This window comes from Homo sapiens, chromosome 12 (genome assembly GCF_000001405.40).
Source record: "Homo sapiens chromosome 12, GRCh38.p14 Primary Assembly".
Lineage (NCBI taxonomy): Eukaryota > Metazoa > Chordata > Mammalia > Primates > Hominidae > Homo > Homo sapiens.
The window spans coordinates 102,085,873-102,107,279 of record NC_000012.12 but is presented as its reverse complement, the minus strand read 5'-3'; the positions used below and the strand labels follow the sequence as shown (position 1 = coordinate 102,107,279).

Below are 21,407 nucleotides of genomic sequence, written 5' to 3'. Positions count from 1 at the left end.
ATGTGTGTGCCAAATGCAGCATAGGAGGGGATTATTTTTTTTCTTAACGTGTTGCCATTGTTACCGAAATACAAGGGGTTGGTCTAGGCCCTGTTGCATACCACACAGAAAGCCAGTGACTAAGACAACAAGTATTGCAAGGGAAGAAGGCTTTATTCAGGTGCTGCAGCTGAGGAGACAGGAGATAAGTCTCAAATCCATCTCACTAACCCACTAAAATTAGGGGTTTATATAGCAGGGAAGAAATGCAACTACATGTGGAAAGACAGGAATTGTGGGGTGTAAGGAACCAGTCATGACAAACGAGGGGTCTGGTGCCTCATTGTGCAGATGCAATGATCTGGTAAGTTTTAGTTCCTTTATGCTATCTGGGAGGCCTGAAGGTCGGTTTCCTGAGAAAGGAACTCAGAGGAGACAAATACAAGTTTTCAGGCTTTAAGATCAGGAGAGTCAATCTCTGTAATTATCTCCAAACCATGAACATTAGTTCTGTGGGGAAGTTGGGCCAGTTTCACCATCAGGACCACAAAGCGGACCTGGTTGGGTTTTGGCTTTCCTTGGTTTTTTTTGCTTTTTGCCAGACCTGTAATGTCCCAAATCAAAGCACCTATTTTTATAATTCATTGTTAATTAAATATAGGTATTTGTTAGGTTAAATGAAAGTAATGATAAGAGTGTACATTTGCATTTTAAAATGAGATTGATAGAGTGCTTTCATTTATTAATACAAAGGGCATTAGAAGTAAACTAATCTAGTCTCCTTTACTTTATTGAGGAGGAAACTGAGCCCTGAGTTTTTAAATGTCATCTTCAAGTTGCATAGCTAAGAAGTAATAAAGGCACCACTAGGCTGACTTGGTTAATCAAATGAAAATGTTGTTAAAATATGGCACATTTTTAGGGGATAACTTGATACTCAACATCTGTTAAGCAATTTAATGAAACAGTCATATATTTGTATACTATTTATGATGGCGTCTTTATTTCCCACTGTTGCCATAACAAACCACCACAAACATGATGACTTAAAACAACAACAGAAATTTATTATCACAGTTTTGGAGGCACATATTCAAAATCAAGTTATCAGTGGGGTTGGTTTATTAGGCTCTGAGGGAGAATCCATTCCATGCCTGTTTTCTAGATTCTGATGGTAGCCAGGAGTCCTTGACTTTCTTTGCCTTGTTGATGCATCACTTCAATCTCTTACCCTTCATATCTCCTCTGTGTTTATCCTTTTTTGTGTTCATTCATTGTTAAATTTTGGGCCCACCCTAGATCCAGGATGATCATCTTAGTATCCTTTAATTTAATCATGTTTGCAAAACCCTATTTTCAAATAAGGCAGCACTCGTAGTTACCAGGGGTTAACACATAGACTTATCTTTTTGAGGACACTTTTTTTTTTTTTTTTTTTTGAGAGGGAGTCCCGCTCTGTCACCCAGGCTGGAGTGCATTGGCGTGATCTCGGCTCACTGCAACCTCCACCTCCCAGGTTCAAGTGATTCTCCCTGCCTCAGCCTCCCGAGTAGCTGGGATTATAGGTGCACATCACCATGCCCAGCTAATTTTTGTGTTTTTAGTAGAGATGGGATTTCGCCGTGTTGACCAGGCTGGTCTCAAACTGACCTCAAGTGATCCACCCACCTTGGCCACCGGAAGTGCTAGGATTACAGGCGGGAGCCACTGTGCCTGGCGTGAGGGCACTTTTCAACCTGCTAAAGATGACACGGAATTCTTGTTGTTGTTGAGACAGGGTTTCGCTCCTGTCACCCAGACTGGAGTGCAATGGCATGATATCAGCTCACTACAACCTCCGCCTCCCGGGCTCAAGAGATTTTCCTACCTCAGTCTCCCAAGTGGCTGGGACTACAGGCACACGCCACTGCACCCGGCTAATTTTTGTATTTTTTTTTTTGTAGAGATGGGGTTTTGCCATGTTACCCAGGCTGGTCTGGAACGCCTGGGCTCAAGTAGTCTGCCCATTTTGGCCTCCCAAAGTGCTGGAATTACAGGCATGAGCCATTGCACCCGGCCATGGCATTCTTGTGCAATGTATAAATATATAGAGGTGCAAAATAAATGCTAATGTAGTGCACAGTATCCCCTTTCATATAAACCCTCACTAGACAACCAACGAAGCCAAAGACTAAAAGCTACAAAACATTGCAGAAAGAAATTAAAGACACAAATAAATAGAAAGACAGCCTGTGTTCATGGATTGAAAGATTTCATAGTGTTAAAGTGTCTGTGCTACCCAAAGCTCTACAAATTCAATGACGTCTTTATCAATCTCTGTGGCACTTTTTACAGAAACAGAAAAGCCATCCTAAAATTCAGATGGAACCTCAAAGGACCCCAAATGACCAAAACAATCTTGAGAAAGCTGAAGTTCTCACACTTCTTTATTTCAAATCGTATCGCAATGCTATACAGTAATCAAAACAGTATGGTACTGGCATAAAGATAAATATGTAGACCAATGGAACAGAGTGGAAAACTTAGGAAAAATACCTTCACATAGCCATCAAATGATCTTTGACAAAGGTTCCAAGGCTACACAATGGGGAAAAGGATAGTCTGTTCAACAAATGGTGTTGAATAAACTGAGTATCATGCAGAATGATAAAATTGGACTTTACACAAATGAGCTCAAAATGGGACCTAAACATAAGACCTGAAACTATAAAACTCCTAAAAGAAAATATCTGAGAGAAGCTTTATGACACCAGATTTGGCAGTTTTTTCTTAGTTTTGATAACAAAAGCACAGGCAACAAAAGCAAAAAATAGACAAATGAGACTAAATCAAACTTTAAAACTAGTACATGGCAAGGGAAGTCAACAGAGTCAAAAGGCAACCCATAGAATGGGGGAAAATATTTGCAACCCATATACCTAACAAGGGATAAATATCCAGAATGTATACAAAAAACTTCTACAACTCAACCACAACAAAATAAATGATCCAATTTAAAAATGATTCAAAAAGACTTAAATGAACATTTCTCCAAAGAAGGTATATGAATGGCCAACAGGCATATAAAAAGATGTTCAACATCCCTAATCATTAAAGAAATACAAATCAAAACCACATGAGAGGTTACCTCACATGTTAGGATTGCCACTACTAGAAAAGCAGAAAATAACAAATGTTGACCCGGGATGTGGAGAAATTGAAACTTTTCTATACTGTTGGTCAGTATGTAGCAATGGTGCAGCTGCTATGAAAAACATTCCAAAGGTTCCTCAGAAAATTAAAAATAGAATTACCTAACTTGCAGTATTATTTTGAATATAAGTGGCAAAAATGGGCATCCTTGTCTTGTTCCTAATCTTAAAAGAGAGACCACCATCTTCTCACCATTAAGAATGATGTTACCTGTGGGCTCGTCATAGATGGCCTATATTGTGATGCGGAACATTTTGTCTATACCTAATTTGTTGAGTTTTTATCAAGAAATGTTGTATTTAGTCACATTCTTTTTCTGCATCTTTTGAGATGATGTGGTTTTTGTCTTTCATTCTGTTAATAAAGTGAACCACATATATTTATTTGCATATGTTGAACATTGTTGCATCCCAGAGATAAGTCCCACTTGATCATGGTGAATGATCTTTTTAATGTACTCTTGAATACAGTTTGCTAGTATTTTGTCAACATAGTACTTGAAGTCCTAGCCAGAGCAATTAGATATGAAAAAGAATTAAAACGCATCCAAATAGGAAAGGAAGAAGTTAAATTGTCTGTTTCCTGATACATGATCTTATATATAGAAAAGCTAAAGACTCCACCAAAAAACTGTTAGAACTGATTAGTGAATTCAGTAAGGTTGCATGATACAAATCAACATTCAAAAATCAGTAACCTTTCTAATATACTAACAATGAACTATCTGAAAAAGAAATTAAGGTAATATGATTTACAAAAGCATCAAAATATCTTGGGAATAAATTTAACTGAGTTGGTAAAAGATCTGTACACAGAAACGATAAAACATTGATGAAAGACATTGAACTTGGCACAAATAATTGGAAAGATATCCTGTGTTCATGGATTGGATGAATTAATATTGTTAAAATGTTCTTACTCCTCAAAGCAATCCACAGATTCAATGCAATGCCTATCTATCAAAACTCCAATGTCATTCTTCACAGAAATAGAAAAATCAATTAAAAAATTTATATGAAATTATAAAACACCCCAGATAGCCAAAGCAATTTTGAGCAAAAAAAAGAACAAACCCGGAGGCATCACACTACCTGATTTCAAAATAAAAGCTATGGTATTCAAGACAGCATGGTACTAACATAAAAAGAGATACCTTGACCAATAGAATAAGATAGAGAGCCCAGAAATAAATTCATGCATTTATGGTCAATCGATTATTTACAAAGGTGCCAAGAACATAAAATGAAGAAAGGACAGTGTCTTCAATGAATGATGTTGCAAAACTGTATTTACACACAGAAGAATGAAATTGAACCGTTATTTCACTCCATATGCAGAATCAACTGAAATTGGATTAAAGACTTAAACTTAAGACCTTAAACTGTAAAATGGCTAGAAGAAAACAGAAAAAGCTTCACAACATTAATCTCCACAACAGTGAATTTTTTGGATCTGACCCTAAAAGCACAGGAAACAAAAGCAAAACTAGACAAGTGGAATTGTATTAAACTAAAGAGCTGCACAGCAAAGGAAACAACAGAGTGAAGATGCAACCTACAGATTGTGAGAAAATATTTGCAAATCATACATCTTGATAAGGGGCTAATATCAACAATATGTAGGGAACTCAAATTACTCAATCACAAGAAAACAGTTATATTTTAAAATGGGCAAAGAACCTGAGTAGACAGACATTTCTTGAAAGAAGACATGCTTTATTCCACTACAACTTTAATTTTGCCTCTGAGAAGACCTTGGACAAAGAATCATTCCCTGGTGGCTTTGATCTGTTTTCTCTAACAACTCTTGACAAATTACTGGAAAGGGGTGTAGTAGCAAAGGTCTACCAACACATCAGGGTCTGTGGATTAAGAGCCTTTAGTTGAGAAAAAATGGCTCACTGTACTCAAACTAAAGAATAAATTTAGATTTGTGTATGATACTCTTTCTACCAAAGAATTGAAAATAAACTTTGTTTTTCAGTATATAAATATAATTTAAATTTTTTTCTCAGCCATTGTCTCACATCCTGAGAATCTAGAAAATTTAGGATTAAAGATAAACTAGTTTAAAAAGTAGTTGTTGGCCAGGCGCAGTGGCTCATGCCTGTAATCCCAGCACTTTGGGAGGCCAAGATGGGCGGATCATCTGAGGTCAGGAGTTCGAGACCAGCCTGGCCAACGTGGTGAAACCCTGTCTCTACTAAAAATACAAAAATTAGCCACGTGTGGTGGTGGGCGCCTGTAATCCCAGCTACTTGGGAGGCTGAGGTAGGAGAATCGTTTGAACCTGGGAGGTGGAGGCTGCAGTGGTATGAAATCATACCACTGCACTCCAGCCTGGGCAACAGAGCAAGTCTGTCTCAAAGGAAAAAAAAAGGAGTGTTTGCTGCTTAGGTTTTGTTTTTTAATTTAATAATCCATTGATTAACTACTGAAAAACATGTTTTAAATGTTTAAAGTATAAATAATACTCCAGCTTTTAGTAGGTATAAATATTATCAGCTTTTATAGTTATAAAAATAGTATCTTACTTCATCTGATTTATTTGGAGGAATAGAAAAAACTAAGGATTATGGATAACAGAAGAGGGCAAAGACTAAGGTAGATGTATAACAATATTTTTAATATGTCTTGGTGACCTGGCTAAAATGAAGATACTTTTTAAAATCCATCCTTTTATGCTTTTAAGAAAACGTTTAAAATTAAATTCAAGTGCTGATTTAGTGTAAAATTCTACACTTTTATTACTGAAGAAGCACATCCAGAATAGACTAACCTTTTGTGTGTTCTCAAAATAAAATAATATGACTCCTACTTTCTGTGATGGCTGTATAATACTTTTTACAGTAGAGCCACAACATTCTTCTTTCCCCCTCCATAAAAAGCATGATTATGAGTTATGATAAAAGCTTCAGTGATCTGAAGGGAAGGATGGGGGGGAGGGGGAGACCTTTCACTTACAAAGGCTAAAAATTGGTATATTTTTGTTTTTTTGCTTCCAGATTTTGTACTTCAGCTGCTGATATGAAAATTAGATTATTTACTTCAGATCTTCAGGATAAAAATGAATATAAGGTATGTTGACAACCATATAAATCTTTAGAGCTTATTTTAAAACGTGTTTGTTTTTTGCTTTTTTAATTGGATTTATTCCAATTTAAAATGGCTTTTTATGGTCATCATTAAAGTATATAATTTAGAGTCTCATTTACTCTACTATAGGTTATAATAACTAGCTTACTATATTATTAAGAACTAAGTTCTTAATGACTGCAGATTATAAATCTGATATCTCTTATTAAATTGAAATATTAGGTAGGAACAACAAATAAGAAAACTAGAAATTTACAGTTGGATATAGTAGGAGTATAATAGACATGACCATTCATAGAGTAAGAGTTGAACTTCATGGGAACAAATGATCAGTACAGCATAGCACAGGCAGAATTCCAAAGCGGTTAAGAGCACAGACACAGAAGCCAGATTCCTTGCATTTAAACTCCAGTGTTATTACTTAGTCGTGGTGTGACCTTGGTTAAGTAACCTAATCTCTTTGTGCTAATATCCTTACCTGTAAAATGTGGGTAATCATAGCAGCTGCCTTATAGGATTATGAGCATTGACTGAGCAAATTCATATAAAACGCTTAGAATAATGTTGATACATAGTAAACGCCGTATGTGTGTTTTCTATTACTATAATAATAACCCTCAGATTGGGTCAAAATTGCATCATGTTTTCTTTTAAGAATGGTATTGCCTTCTTGGCTTTCTAATAAGCCAAAATATGAATATTGTTATAAAACAAAGATAAATTACAAACCTTTCCAATCATTTAGAAAATAGTAAAAATTATGCTGTAAGCTATTTACAGTGGGCTTAATGTACTGTATGGATTGGTTAATTTAAGGCTGTACCAGAAATAACCAAGTATATAAATGGCACATAAAATTTTGACCTATCCAAAGTTAATATGCTAGTTATAATACACATTAAACATTTACGGTTAATTTAGTTTGTCTTGTAGACTGTGACAGAAGCTTTGGAGAATGATTTGGAGGACCTGGGTTTGTTAAAGTTGCTCAGGAATGTTTGACCCAAATCTTTTTGTTTTTTGTTTTTTTTTTAATATTACATTTCTACATAGTGAGCAGTACTATATAGAACTGCTTTAATAACCTCAGAACTGAGATCAAATTTGAGTTTTTGGAAAGAAGGAAGGGTAGAAAGAATGATAACCATTAAAGTAATTATCTGACAGGCCTATTTAGGATTTCAACTATGAAGATTTAGACAGATTGAACTTTATCTGCTCACACAGTCCTCCACTGTGCAACTTCTCATTTGTTGCTTCTGTGTCGAGATTTTTTGTGTTGGTGATAACTATGGGCTTATAACAACTAGCTGTCTTCACTGCTAGCAGTCACATTGAGCATGTAAATGAAGGCATTAGATGGTGAAGTCCATCCTGTGTGTGTTTGTTAAGTAGTGAGTATGCAGAACAGCAGATATAATGTAAAAAGCCTAGAGGTACCCTACCTCGGTACCCCTAAAAAGTTTTCTAGCTCTAATTTTTATTTAGGCTTTATATAATAAGTGAGAAAGGAGGTGATATGAGGACAGGTACAATAAAAATGTGTGTGTGTGTGTGTTTTTGTAAGAAATGCATACTAGAAAAGAAAGACTAAGCTAATAGTGTGTTGAATGATCAATTTTTTTCCCAAGATAAACCTTCTAGAAAAGTGGGTGTATAAATCGTGCTTTAAAAATAGCGGATTGCTTAAGAAATATTTATAGAAAAACAGGCAGTGAAAGCTTTTAAGGCAGTGAAGCAAAAATATTATGTAGGAATATTGTAGGTTATTTTTCTGTTTTCTTGCTAAGCTTTCTGTTTCTCTTTCTGTCAGGTTTTAGAGGGCCATACCGATTTCATTAATGGTTTGGTGTTTGATCCCAAAGAAGGCCAAGAAATTGCAAGTGTGAGTGACGATCACACCTGCAGGTATGTTGCTTATGTTATAACCACATTTTTAAATTGCCATTTTAATGAGAATTACATTTTTAAAATGAGAAAAAAAAATGTGACTTTTACATAAATTCTATAGAGTGTTGTAAAAGAAGCATACCTTATTTGAACTGTAGGTATGGCACAAACATGAGTTTCAAAACCAGTGAGATAGTCCTCATCACCATTAATGAAAACTTCCTTGCCTCCCATGGGTGTCTTTTATCTCTTATTTCAGATTTTCACATTTATGAAATCCAAATCTATATTGGACTGGGCACAGTGCCACATGCCTATAATCTCAGCTCTTTGGGAGACCAAGGTGGGCAGATCACCTGAGGTCAGGAGTTAATGACCAGCCTGACCAACATGGCGAAACTCCATTTCTACTAAACATACAAAAATTAGCCAGGCACGGTAGTGCGCACTTGTGATTCCAGCTACTCGGGGGACTGAGGCAAGGGAATCGCTTGAACCTGGGAGGCTGAGGTTGCAGTGAGTCAAGCTTGTTTCACTGCACTCCAGCCTGGGTGGCATAGCGACACTCCATCTCAAAAAAAAAAAAAACACAAACATATTGGATCAAATTCTTCAATATTGGACAAGATAAGTAGGAGTAAAATGCAGTTGTCAAGTTACTTTACAGATGCTGTATGATAAGTTTGTGTGGAATAATGAACTATGACTCTCATCTGCTACATAAGATTGATGGAAAATTTAGTGTTTTGATAAATTCAGAGGTTTCTGCATAAGGTTTTCTTTAGATACAATACATTTAACTATTATGTTCTTCTACCTCACCCCCTAATTTAGAACAGATGAGGTAGCTATAACATTTTAATAGTGTGTAAAGCTGGAGAATATCACAAATAAAGAACAAGATGAAAAGGAAGAATAGCAGGTGGAAATAAGCTGAGGAGTCAGGAGTGAAATGAGTGCATCAGTCATTGGAAGGGTGTCAGTTGCTTCATTTGCTTTAACGATACTGTGAGGGAGAGAAAAACTGCTGCTCTGCTGTTTTGCATAATGTTTCATAAAACTATGCCAAAATCCTTAGTATTTATTAGTACTTATGTACATATAAAACTATGAAATATGTATGACTTCACATTAGAAGTAAAGCTGCTAGCTACTTTTTAAATTTTTAATCTTCTTAATATAGCTCATCTTTTTAAAGTGATAGAGTCATAGGCCATTATTCTTTATGTACTGCCTGTTAAAATTTTCATGTCAGAGATATGAAAGATTTACATGACATTAAGATTCTAGGGCCCCAGGTACTACAAAACCAAGTTTGTATAGTGACCTGAAGAGTAAATGGAATCGTTTTAAGGTAAAAATTCGGTCACTGGAAATAAATAATGGCATTTCAGCTCTTTAAAACATAGATTTTCCTAATCACAAGCATTTGGAATAATGAAACCTGCAAAGGGGAAAAATGAGTGTCTTTGCAAGCCAAGGAATGGCCTCTGAATAGTGAACGAAAGCCGGAGAGACCTAGGATCACACTCAGTAGTCTATGTTTTTGTTTGTTTGTTTTCTTATGACTCTGAGATTTTTTTTGTAAACTAGCAAAATTCTCTAAAAATTTAGGGGACTGACATAGGGTTGCTAACTTTTTATTTTGTCGAATATAAGACTTAAGTTTACTGCCTTCTACCACTATCATTTTGTAAAAGAAAGGACATTATTACTCTAAAAAGTAGGAAAGGAATAACTAAAGAGTAAGTCTTTTAGTTTAAATAAATTTAATTTTTTAAAAACCTGACTACATTGCCTCTAAGTTTCTCATTTTGCCAGACTGGTTGTTGATATTATTGTTCAACAAATATTTGCTTTCCTTTCACCTTCCCATGAAAGGAGATTTTCCCATCTAATTAGCCCTAGCTTTGTGAATTGTTTAGGCCAATGTAGCATTAACAGGTGTGACACAGCAGAAGCTTCAAATGTTTTGCCTGGCTTGACTTGACCTCCTGTGCTCTGTCATTTGCTATGAGATGAGCATGTCCTAGATAGCTACTGATCCCAGAATGAGAAACACGTGGAGCAGATATGGACCCATATGGCATTATGGAAACAGAGCTTCCCATAGACCCATGTGCAAGAAATTTATGCTTATTTCTGTAAACCACCGAGATTTTCGGGTTGATGCACAACATCAAACTAGGAGTATTTTTAGAATTTACAGCTTAGTTCACCAACCAAAAATAAACAACTCTGATTGGTTATTAAAGCCAAACCTCTTAGGCCAAAACCTAAGCAATATAGGTAAGATTTTTTTAAAAACAGAACGTATATAAAAACAAGTTTAAAATGAGAAAGAGTAGATAGTATCATACACTCTCATAGCAAGGAAAGAAGGAATTCTAAGAGGACATATGTGATAATGTAAGATTCTTACAATATCACATATATATTCTTACATTATCACATATGTGACAAGAGAGTATATCATATGAGCAGTTCTACAATATGTATTCTGTACTGTAAAGAGCAGACCCAGTGCTTACTTAAGAAAATTTAAAATAACCTCAATATTTTGATCTATGCATATTTTCTGATGTTTCACTTTGACATTTCCAAGAAAGACACTATATTATAATCAGCTAGCAGAATTTTGCCCTAGGAACACTATTTTAAAACAATCTGTGACCTGAATAGGTTCATGAAATGTATGTGTTGTATTGAAAATTGCCAAATTCTGAATCAAACAGAATAAAGAGTCGTACTGTGAACAAAGGTACCTCTGATAATACAAAATGTTATTATGGAAGATGATAGATTACATTTTATCTAAGACTCCATCTAATTTTACTATTCTATGATCTGTGCAAGTTTATAAGAAAATTGGGTTCTCATTAAAGTTGGTCTTTATCAGTTCCAACACTGCCTTTCTAACAAACATTTTATAATGCCTACCACACCTTTTTAAATGAAACTCACAGAAAATGTAGCCTTCCAAATATATAAGTACAGAAAATTATTATCGTCCCTTAATTTTATGATATATTCTATAAAAGGAAAACAAAGAGAATAATAATGCATTGTGTATAAGCTCAGATAACAACTACATATGAAGACATAGGTAGTCTTTCTTCTTCTTTACAATGAGTAAGACTGGATATCAGAAAAATAAGATAACATGAAAATGTAAGGCAGAGGCAAGGCAGTCAAGTTGCACAGTTGTAGAGATTTATGAGTTGTGTAGAGTATAATGTAAATAGTGCCATCTGGAGTTCTACAGTGTCATAGCGCTGAGCAGATCTACAGTTTTAGGATAAAAGCTCATGTTAGTAGTAATACAATGAAATTAAATCTCATTAGAGAAATAGGGAAATACAGGTAATCAAAATAGGAATAACATAGCAAGATAAATCATAGGATGTCAAGTTGAAAAAGTAAGATAATATTCTTGCAATATTTTCTGTATGAAAAGTATGACAAGTATATATCTTGATGAAGAAATATGTATCTTTATGAAAAAGGTGCCATTACTGAAACAAAAAGCAAGCGTCTGATAGATGTGTTTAATAAAAGAAATTCCCAAGTAAAGCATGGGGTTGCTAGTCATTCAGCCTTATATTCTACACCATTTTCTTTATGATCCCTCATCATGTCTACCATATGCAGATGCACTCACATGCATATACATGTATATATAAAAATATATGCACACATATATACACAGGTTGATAAAAATACTGATGCTTTATGTGTGTGTTTGTATATGCATATGCACAGAAAAATATAAATACGTTCATAGTTATGACCTAGTGTCATTGAAAGAAGGCTAAAATTATTACAGTATTTGAGAGGTAAAGAAGTGCATATTCATTTAGAAAAAATTATTATCTCCTCCTCCAAAAGAAGGTAAAAGTGTCATTTAAGTATTTAGTGGGTTAAGCTTATTATTTTTTAAAACTCACTAATACAGAACATCTCATTCCCAGTCATTGCCAAATAACAGATGTTCTTGTATATTAGAAACAGTACCATTCTGTAAGAACAAGTCAGATCAACAAGTATTTATTAAACACATTTAGTATACCCAATATTCAGTACTTTGGGGGATACAAAAGAAATACAAGACCTAGTACGCACTGTAACTACAAAGGATATCAGTAGTAAATCCCATCCCTCCTCCTCATCCCTCAATAATCTTTTAAAATATTAGATAAAAGTTTATGGTGAAAGAAAACTGACTTCTAGAAACCAGGGAATTTTTAGTTTAATAAAATATAGGTGTGCATATAATGTGCCATTCACTTTCTCTATAAAACATGAAATATTTGTAGTTGTCATGTTCTAACTGGGATCATTTTTTAAAAGAATGAGAGAAGGGTGGCATATAAAAAATAAAGAATAAGATATTAGAATGTAACCAAATCACTGTATAAAGGAATACTAAATTACCTAAGCTATTCACTAAGCCAGTAATATAGTTGTTTAAAAAATGTTGCAAGAGGAAAAATGATTTTTATCAAATTTGTTCTGTGTACCACATGCAAGCTATGTGTTTTTCATATTACCTTTGTTTATGTACATTTGAAAGTCTTTAAGATCCATAATTAAGATGGAGTGTTCTTCCTCCACCCCCACCCCAATTGAGATCACAAAATATGCAGTATACCTAAAAATAGTCCTTGTGGGAAACAGCAAAAAGGAAACTGAGAGCCTTCTGAAGGTAGGCCAATGAACCATTCTTTGGAAAGTAATCCACGTCTGGGAGTGCATAAACCATGCCCAGGTACAAAGTATAATCAGGATAATTTACATGATTTATTATACTGTTATAGTTAAAATTCAGGAAAAGTTCCCTGCTTGTCTTCTAAAACTCACTCTAATTTTTTCTAACATTTTGAATCAAGATCAGTAATTGCATAGTTCTAACAAGAGCCTTGAGAATGGGGTAAAATGGACACTTTGTGTTGAGCATGGCAATACTTTAGCTCCAGTGATGGAACATAGAGATTCTTTGTCGTTAAAAGAACTCTCCAAAAATTATACTAAAACACATTTATCACTTTTGCAGACATTTTTAAATTCAATGCAGTGAAATAGGGTGTTAATGAAAGACTGTAATAGAGTAGAAGTCAGTAAAGTGAAGAAAACATTTTCTAAAACTTGACATGATCATTTACTGGTAAAATCACTCTCTAGTAGCTGATACTTTGTTCTTTTCTGTATGCCCTTGTAGATGAAATACAAAACAAGTGCTTAATAAAATATATCACCAAATCAGTGACTACAGTAATTTAAGCTTGCTTTATGTGGCCCTCATGTGGTTACAGTAAGTGGATTATAAAATGGGAATCATATCCATAAACAGTTTCCAGATTTTGAAAGACCATTGATGTGAATGATAAAGGAGTACTTTCCCTTATTGATAGCTTTAGTATTCAGCATATAGTCAAATTTTAAGTTGTAAAGTTTATCAAAATTTTTCTTGGAAAAAATGAAATGCTAATATTTCCTGGGTAGTGTTACTGTTGCTTTTGTTAAGGCTTATGTTAGTTAAAGAAAAAGCCCTTCTACTCTGAATTCCTTAAAGATGAAATCATTACACATGGTCTGTTTGAAAACTACCATATGGTATTTCTTTGCAGTTGAGAGTTTAATTTTTGAAGTTTATTTTTAAATGTGACAAAATTTCTCACAATTTCCATCCTTCAAAAATTTATCTGTCTGTATAAGTTAAATGAGATGTTAATAATTCTCCTCTGAGACAGCCTCAGTTTCTTATCTCTGTGATAATAAATGTAGTTTCTGCTCAATTTGTTTACAATTACAAGAAATCAAAATGAAGCAACAGCATACAAATTGATAAAATTTTTATCCTCCCCAAAGCTTCATGAAGATGTATAACAGATTAAATTTTGTGTGGTGTAGTTTATTAGTGTTCTGTATGAAACAGGGTACCTCCTTCCTTCTCTCTCCACCCTCAAAGTACATGCAGTCTTTATTATCAACTCTGATTTTGACATATTATTTTCAGTTATTGAAGAGTAAAATAATAAGCCTGTACAATTATCTCATTTTTGCCCTTTTAATTCTTGCTCTGAAGTCAGTAAAACTTCTAATAATAATCTTTTATCATTAGTACTGCTAGTACATTAAAACTACTACTGCTACAACTACTACTTGCTCAGTAGTCTCAAGTATTAAAAAAAGAATTAATCTAATCTTATTTTCTAAATATATTTGGACACACACACTGAAAGTATCCTGCTATAAAATTCTTCCAACTATCCTGCTATTTTGTTGTCTCCACCTTTAAGGCTTTTGCCTAGCTCTCAAAGTTCTCCATAGTCTCAACCATAAACTGACAAAACTTTATTTACCAACTCTAACCTACCCATACCCACTGTAAAGATTTGTCCATCTAATCTCTAGATTTGGGCTTTCAGTTACATGGTTCCCCACCTCTGAACTCCTTTTGCACTTAAAACCAGATATTTTAGCACTGAATTCTTTTGCAAAATGTTTCACTTTCTAATTGTGTGCTCATTTGCTAAGGAAATACACCACGACTTACCCTTCTTTGAATCATCTATAACCTGATTAACTTAGTAATTGATTAATTGGAACTAAGAGAAAATCCTAGTTTTGCTCTCACAAGCTCAGTGGAAAATATGTTTCTTGTCTAAGAATGTTGAGGGTCCCTTTCCTGTACCAGTGACATTGTAAAGTGCCTGCTAATCCTTATAACTACATCTCTGTATTACTTTGTTCTTTTCTTTCTTACTTAATTAATCAATACACAGATTCATGTGATCTAGTCATGTCTTTTAGAAAGATTGTGGTTCATATTTTTTGCTTTACCAGTTAGGGCCAAATGGATACAGATGTGTCATTTAATGTCATCCATTCTTTCTTTTGTGTTGTCAAAAAACATTTGGTAGTAGAAATTCCCTTCTGCGATGAATTTCCTAGCAAACAATGAGCTGCCAAAAATGTTAAAAATGGAGAATGAACAAATAAACAGAATATTACAGAATATTCCTGTTGAATCCTCGGACAGAACATCTTTCTTTATTAACTGTCCATTTAAAAGACCTTTGAGAATATCTAGGATATCCCCAGTATGCCAACACCCAATTTATGGGACCTTTTTGTTAATTTATTGGGACAATAACATTTAAATACCATATGGTAGGGATACTTAATGTTCTGCTGAAAAGCACTCGGCCTGAAATGAAGCAATAATCATAGCAATAAAATACTAAAAGTAAAATAAGCATAATTCATAATCTTAGATCTGAATAGCTCTCTATCCCATCATCACAGCTAAATCTAAGAGTTCTATTTAGGACCACAATGTCAGGAGAGATGGGGATGTTAATTATAATTATCGTTCAAATTGGATGAAAACTGTCATTTTATTTCACTTGAGGAGTGATGCTTTACTTACCCAGTGCCCTTTGATTTGGTCTGTATTGGCACCTTAATATGTCAGCACATAACTTTCCCATAAAAGCTTTTCCTTTTAAATTTCCCTTGCAAACATTTAAATATGTACTATGTATGTTAATATAGATCCTAGGTTTTGGCCAAGGTAATTAAACCTGATAACATTTATTCTATACTTTTATGCTTTGAGAAATGGTCTATCATCTTTTCATATGCTTAATTATGTGTATTATGAAGGCTGTGGGGTTTTTTTTGTTTTTTGGGTTTTTTTTTTTTTTTTTTTTTTTTTTTTTGAGACGGAGTCTCTCACTCTGTTTCCCGGGCTGGAGTACAGTGGCAAAATCTCAGCTCACTGCAACCTCCGCCTCCCAGATTCAAGCAGTTCTCCTGCCTCAGCCTCCCGAGTAGCTGGGATTACAGGTGCCTAACCACCATGCCCAGCTAATTTTTGTGTTTTTAGTAGAGTCAGGGTTTCACCATATTGGTCAGGCTGGTCTCGAACTCCTGACCTCAGGTGATCCGCCTGCCTCAGCCTCCCAAGGTGTTGGGATTACAGGCGTGAGCCACAGTGCCTGGCCGGCTGTGAGCTTTTAAAGCATTTCTCTTTCTGTGATGCACCACTGTCCTGAAAAGTGTGCTTCTGTGGTTATAACTGACTTTGCAATAGTAATAATTTTGGAAATATTAAAACCTGAATTTTCAAATTTTGAATTTTTTTCTTTTATAGTAGAAATCCTGTTGTCTGACGTGGTCTAGACCAAAAGTTTCTTAGATAACAAAAAGTCAGTAAACTCAGGAAATCATTTTAAAAGAATGCCTACCTGCCTTATTTTAATATACAACCCATGTATATTAAAAACCATTTGCCAGTCTTTTGATATTAGGCCAGTGCTTTTTTTTCTTAGGTTATGAGTCCATTGATTGGCTTGGGACCACTTTTTTGGCATGAACCACAACCAAAATACAATGTCTTCAATGAAAATAACACTTAGAAAAGCAGTCTTAATTCAGAATACTTCTAGATTTTTATTTTTATTATTTAATCTTTTAAAACTGTCACACATACCTAATATGAGTGAGTTTTTTTTCTTTTAGAAACTTAACCTTTAGTTAGTTGGCATTGACTTAGTTTCATTGAAATAGCTTTCACATTCATATTTTGTCAGTTTATGTAATATTATGTAATTACATTAATAAGCATGGGTTTACATCCCATACAACCAGTGGTTTGCTAAGCAAAGAAGCTGTATTCCCTCTTCATACACATGCAACAAATGCACATGTGGGCATATTAGAAAATAGCCTTCTCATTCTTGGCACTTCTATAGGGGGAAAAAAGAAAAATCTGTCAGAGTCAGTTCAGAGAGATTCTACTGTACACTGTGTTTACAACATTTTAAAACTTAGGCACATTTGTCCATACATAGATACTGCAAATAAAACGCAAAAAAAAAAAGAGTTGAGAAATGTACCTTACAAAATAAGAGCACCTGAAAAGCTGTACCTATTACCATTCATATAAATGATTAAGACTGTTTTAGTCAGAAAATGAGAGAAAGTTTTGGCTTTTTCCACTGGTAATTAAATATGAGAGGGGAAAAGGAAATATGAGGTGCAGCCAACTTGGAAAGCTATTTGATGATAACTACCTGCTAAAGTTGAATATATTTGTAAGCTGTGATCCAGCAATTCCATGCCTAGGTATGTACCCAGCAGGTGTGTGTGTGTGTATGTGATCGTATGTGGGTATCTATATTCACTAAAAGACATATGCAAGACGGCTTACAGCAGCATTCTTGGTGACGACCAAAAATTGGAAACAACCTAAATGTCTGTCAGGAGTAGAATGAATATATATGTTGTTGTGTACTGAATTAATTGAAGACCGTATAAGGCATTAAGAAAAAACAAATTGAGGGGCGCCTCTGCCCGGCCACCTCCTCTGGGAAGTGAGGAGCGCCTCTGCCCGGCCGCCTCGTCTGGGAAGTGAGGAGCGCCTCTGCCCGGCTGCCCCGTCTGGGAAGTGAGGAGCGCCTCTGCCCAGCCGCTCATCGTCTGGGATGTGAGGAGCGCCTCTGCCCTGCCGCCCTTCGTCTGGGAGGTGAGGAGTGCCTCTGCCCGGCTGCCCCGTCTAGGAAGTGAGGAGCGCCTCTGCCTGGCCGCCCCGTCTGGGAGGTGAGGAGCGTCTCTGCCTGGCTGCCCCGTCTGGGAAGTGAGGAGCGCCTCTGCCCGGCCGCCCCGTCTGGGAAGTGAGGAGTGCCTCGGAAGTGAGGAACGCCTCTGCCCGGCTGCCCCGTCTGGGATGTGAGGAGTGCCTCTGCCCGGCCGCCACCCAGTCTGGGATGTGAGGAGCGCCTCTGCCCGGCCGCCACCCCGTCTGGGAAGTGAGGAGCGCCTCTGCCTGGCCACTGTGCAATCTTCCAAGTGTGAAGTGACAGCCTTTCTGCAGGTGTACCCAACAGCTCCGAAGAGACAGCGACCATCGAGAACGGGCCATGATGACGATGGCGGTTTTGTCGAAAAGAAAAGGGGGAAATGTGGGGAAAAGAAAGAGAGATCAGATTGTTACTGTGTCTGTGTAGAAAGAAGTAGACATAGGAGACTCCATTTTGTTCTGTACTAAGAAAAATTCTTCTGCCTTGGGATGCTGTTAATCTATAACCTTACCCCCAACCCCGTGCTCTCTGAAACGTGCTGTGTCAACTCAGGGTTAAATGGATTAAGGGTGGTGCAAGATGTGCTTTGTTAAACAGATGCTTGAAGGCAGCATGCTCGTTAAGAGTCATCACCACTCCCTAATCTCAAGTACCCAGGGACACAAACACTGCGGAAGGCCGCAGGGACCTCTGCCTAGGAAAACCAGAGACCTTTGTTCACGTGTTAATCTGCTGACCTTCTCTCCACTATTATCCTATGACCCTGCCACATCCCCCTCTCCGAGAAACACCCAAGAATGTTCAATAAATACTAAAAAAAAAAAAAAAAAAAATTAAAACAAAAACAAAAACAAATTACAACAACATGCAACAAATGGTGGTAAATCTCACAAAACCTAATGATGAGTAAAAGAAGTCAGACCAAGAAAATACGTAACATATGAAAATGGACATCATTTTTATGATGTTCAAAAATAGGCAAAAGTAAGCAATAACATTTGAAGTCAGAATAGTGGGTACCTTTTGTGAGACAGTAAGGAAGTATGAGTAGAAGGGAGCGCAAGACAACTTTTGGAGTCTTGGAAATACTCTGTTTCTTGATTTAGGTGCCATTCTTTTTGAGTGTATTCTCTTTGAATTGTACATTTAAGATTTGTGTATTTTTATTATATATGGTATACTTCAAAAATTTTACCCAAAAAAAAGTGACTATCTCATGTAAGTAATATTAACCAGATGAGCTATATAGTAAAGACACAGAAAAATGAGCTGAGCTCCATAAAAGGATTTGAGAAGGGCTTAATTAAGGAATCTATCAAAAAGGAAAATAAGACTTAACAACTTAAATTGTGCCATCTGTAGCTAATTTAGTTAGGATAACTAGTTTCAGCCCAATTTGTTGTATTTTACATACTTACTACTTGGATTGTGTAACCACTAAGAATTATGAATAAGCATATAATTATAAACCATAAATCATTTTATCCCAATCCCTTGAAAACTAATCTGGATCACCCTCCTCATTTTTAAGTCAGGTTTTTGTTTGTTTGTTAGTTTTCTTAAATGTCAGGTTCTGTTCAGGATAAAATACTGGTTAAAAATTAGGTAAAACTTTGGTTCATTGGACAGGAATACATTTCATTAACTGACCAGTTTTTATTTAATATTTTTATCCATATTTTCTACCTCTTCTGTTTCCTTCATTTGAAAGAAAAAAATCATGAAAATATTTTGGAATGTATTTACTCAATTTATATAATAGCCAACAAAACAAATACATATTAGAATAAGATCAAAAGAATGGAGGTTTTAAACCATCCTCTCATGGGACTTGCTGAATTTTCAAGACAAATTCATACTATTTCAGTAGTGGTTAAAATATATGCTAGCCCAACACTTTATTTTGCAGAAAGCAATAGAGAAGAAATACTTGATCAGTTGCCATAATTAATAATCTAATTCATCGTGGGGAGTGAAACACAGTTGCATAAACCCCTGCTAAATGTGATTTCTCTCTTCAATTAAATTGTAATTGTCTCCCTTGTATAATAAATACAGATGAAAAGTATTGATTTGGCAAGAGAACAGTATGCTTCTAAATTGTTTAATCATTAAGATAATCATTTTGAAAAACATCTGTGTTCATTTGTATGTAACTATGATATTTCAACATTTAGAGACCCAATAATTTCTACAAGGAAGAAGAATATTTGAAGTTATGTGTTTTGGCACAGAATAGTAGCATTGTCCAATACATACTCTACTTTCTTTGAAATAAATTTTTGCCTACACATTGAAAATAAATTCCTCAAATTGGTTAAACCTGTTTGGTTTAACCTCATTGGTTCCCTAATGAGATATGAACTATAAAACCTAGAAGAAAAATTCCAATGAATGAATTCAGTCCTTTTTTTATTGTTGGTTTTTGTTGTTGTTGTTTTGAGACAGGGTCTCTGTCACCCAGGCTGGAGTGCAGAGGTGCAAACGTGGCACATTGTAGCCTCCACCTCCTGTGCTCAAGCAATCCTCCCACGTCAGCCTGCCATTTTAGCCTCCCAAGTAATAGCTGGGGCTACAAGTGTGCATCACTATGCCTGGCCAATTTTTATGTGTTTTGTAGAGACGAAGTTTCACTGTATTTGCCAGGCTGGTCTTGAACTCCTGGGCTCAAGCAATCCTTCTGTCTCAGCCTCCCAAAGTGCTGGGATTACAGGCATGAGCCATGGCACCCAGTCAAGTTCAGTTCTTAAGGATCAGAATTATATGTGCACTTTGCCAGCCTCCCACCGAGTTCTGTCACCGGCTGTACTCTGTGCCATACTCTGTGCCAGTGCAATGTAACAGTGGCTGAGTATGGAGAATGAGCAGTGGGTGAGGGATAGCATTCTCACGACATGGTGCCATGACTGAGATTTCTGAGTCTTGCTCTCCCTCTGCAATGGTAAAGCAATTGAAATGGAGAGCCATGTTGGTGAGTAACCTGGTCCTTGTTACTGTGGATTTGTAACTATTGAGGAAAGTGAGAACAGGAAGAACCAAATGCCTCTTTCAACCCAGCTTTAATCGTCAACCATGGCCAGCTTGGGGAGAGAAAACTGGAAAAGTAAGCCAAATTACAAAAGGTATAAATAGGAAGTAGCCACTGGGTTGGAATCCTAAAGGTAGAAGGAATAAGCAGTATGGAAGATGGCCGTGTTGCTAAATTTACATAACTTCATATTAGCTTCTCTGTATGTTGTTTTGAAAATAAAAATACTCGGCTTGCATGCGTGTGTGTGTTTGTAAGCGCCCCAGTAGTAATTATCGTCAGTTGAAATGACTACTGAAGTAGTCAGACAACCTGATTAGTGACCTAGAAACCTCAAGATTTTGCCCACAAAATAAAGAGTATATAAATAATTTAATTTGATTACCATGTAAAAGTGTTGCTGTGATAGATTAATTAGAGGGAAAATGTGTGTGACTCTTTTGTCCATGATTATGGTAAAATTTAAATTCTTCATCCTACTTTCATATTACTTAAAAGTGGTGTTATAATTTTCTTTAAAAAGATATACATTAAGTACAAATGTCTGTCTTATAATCTGTAGTTAATAGCTTTGAATAAATTCATGGAAATTTAATTTTTTAGTAATGATATATCAAGAACAATTAACATTATACT

The 21,407-nt window shown here is 35.7% G+C and overlaps 1 protein-coding gene across 2 annotated transcripts in view; it reads left to right on the top strand.

Annotated features, from left to right (window-relative positions):
• Positions 1-21,407, top strand: part of NUP37 (nucleoporin 37) — a 47,012-nt gene that overhangs the window by 12,835 nt on the left and 12,770 nt on the right. For both annotated transcript variants that reach the window (NM_024057.4, XM_047429530.1), the window contains exons 4-5: positions 6,176-6,248; positions 8,080-8,174. In NM_024057.4, the coding sequence (NP_076962.2) occupies positions 6,176-6,248; positions 8,080-8,174 (168 nt within the window). The remainder of the gene's footprint in view (positions 1-6,175; positions 6,249-8,079; positions 8,175-21,407) is intronic.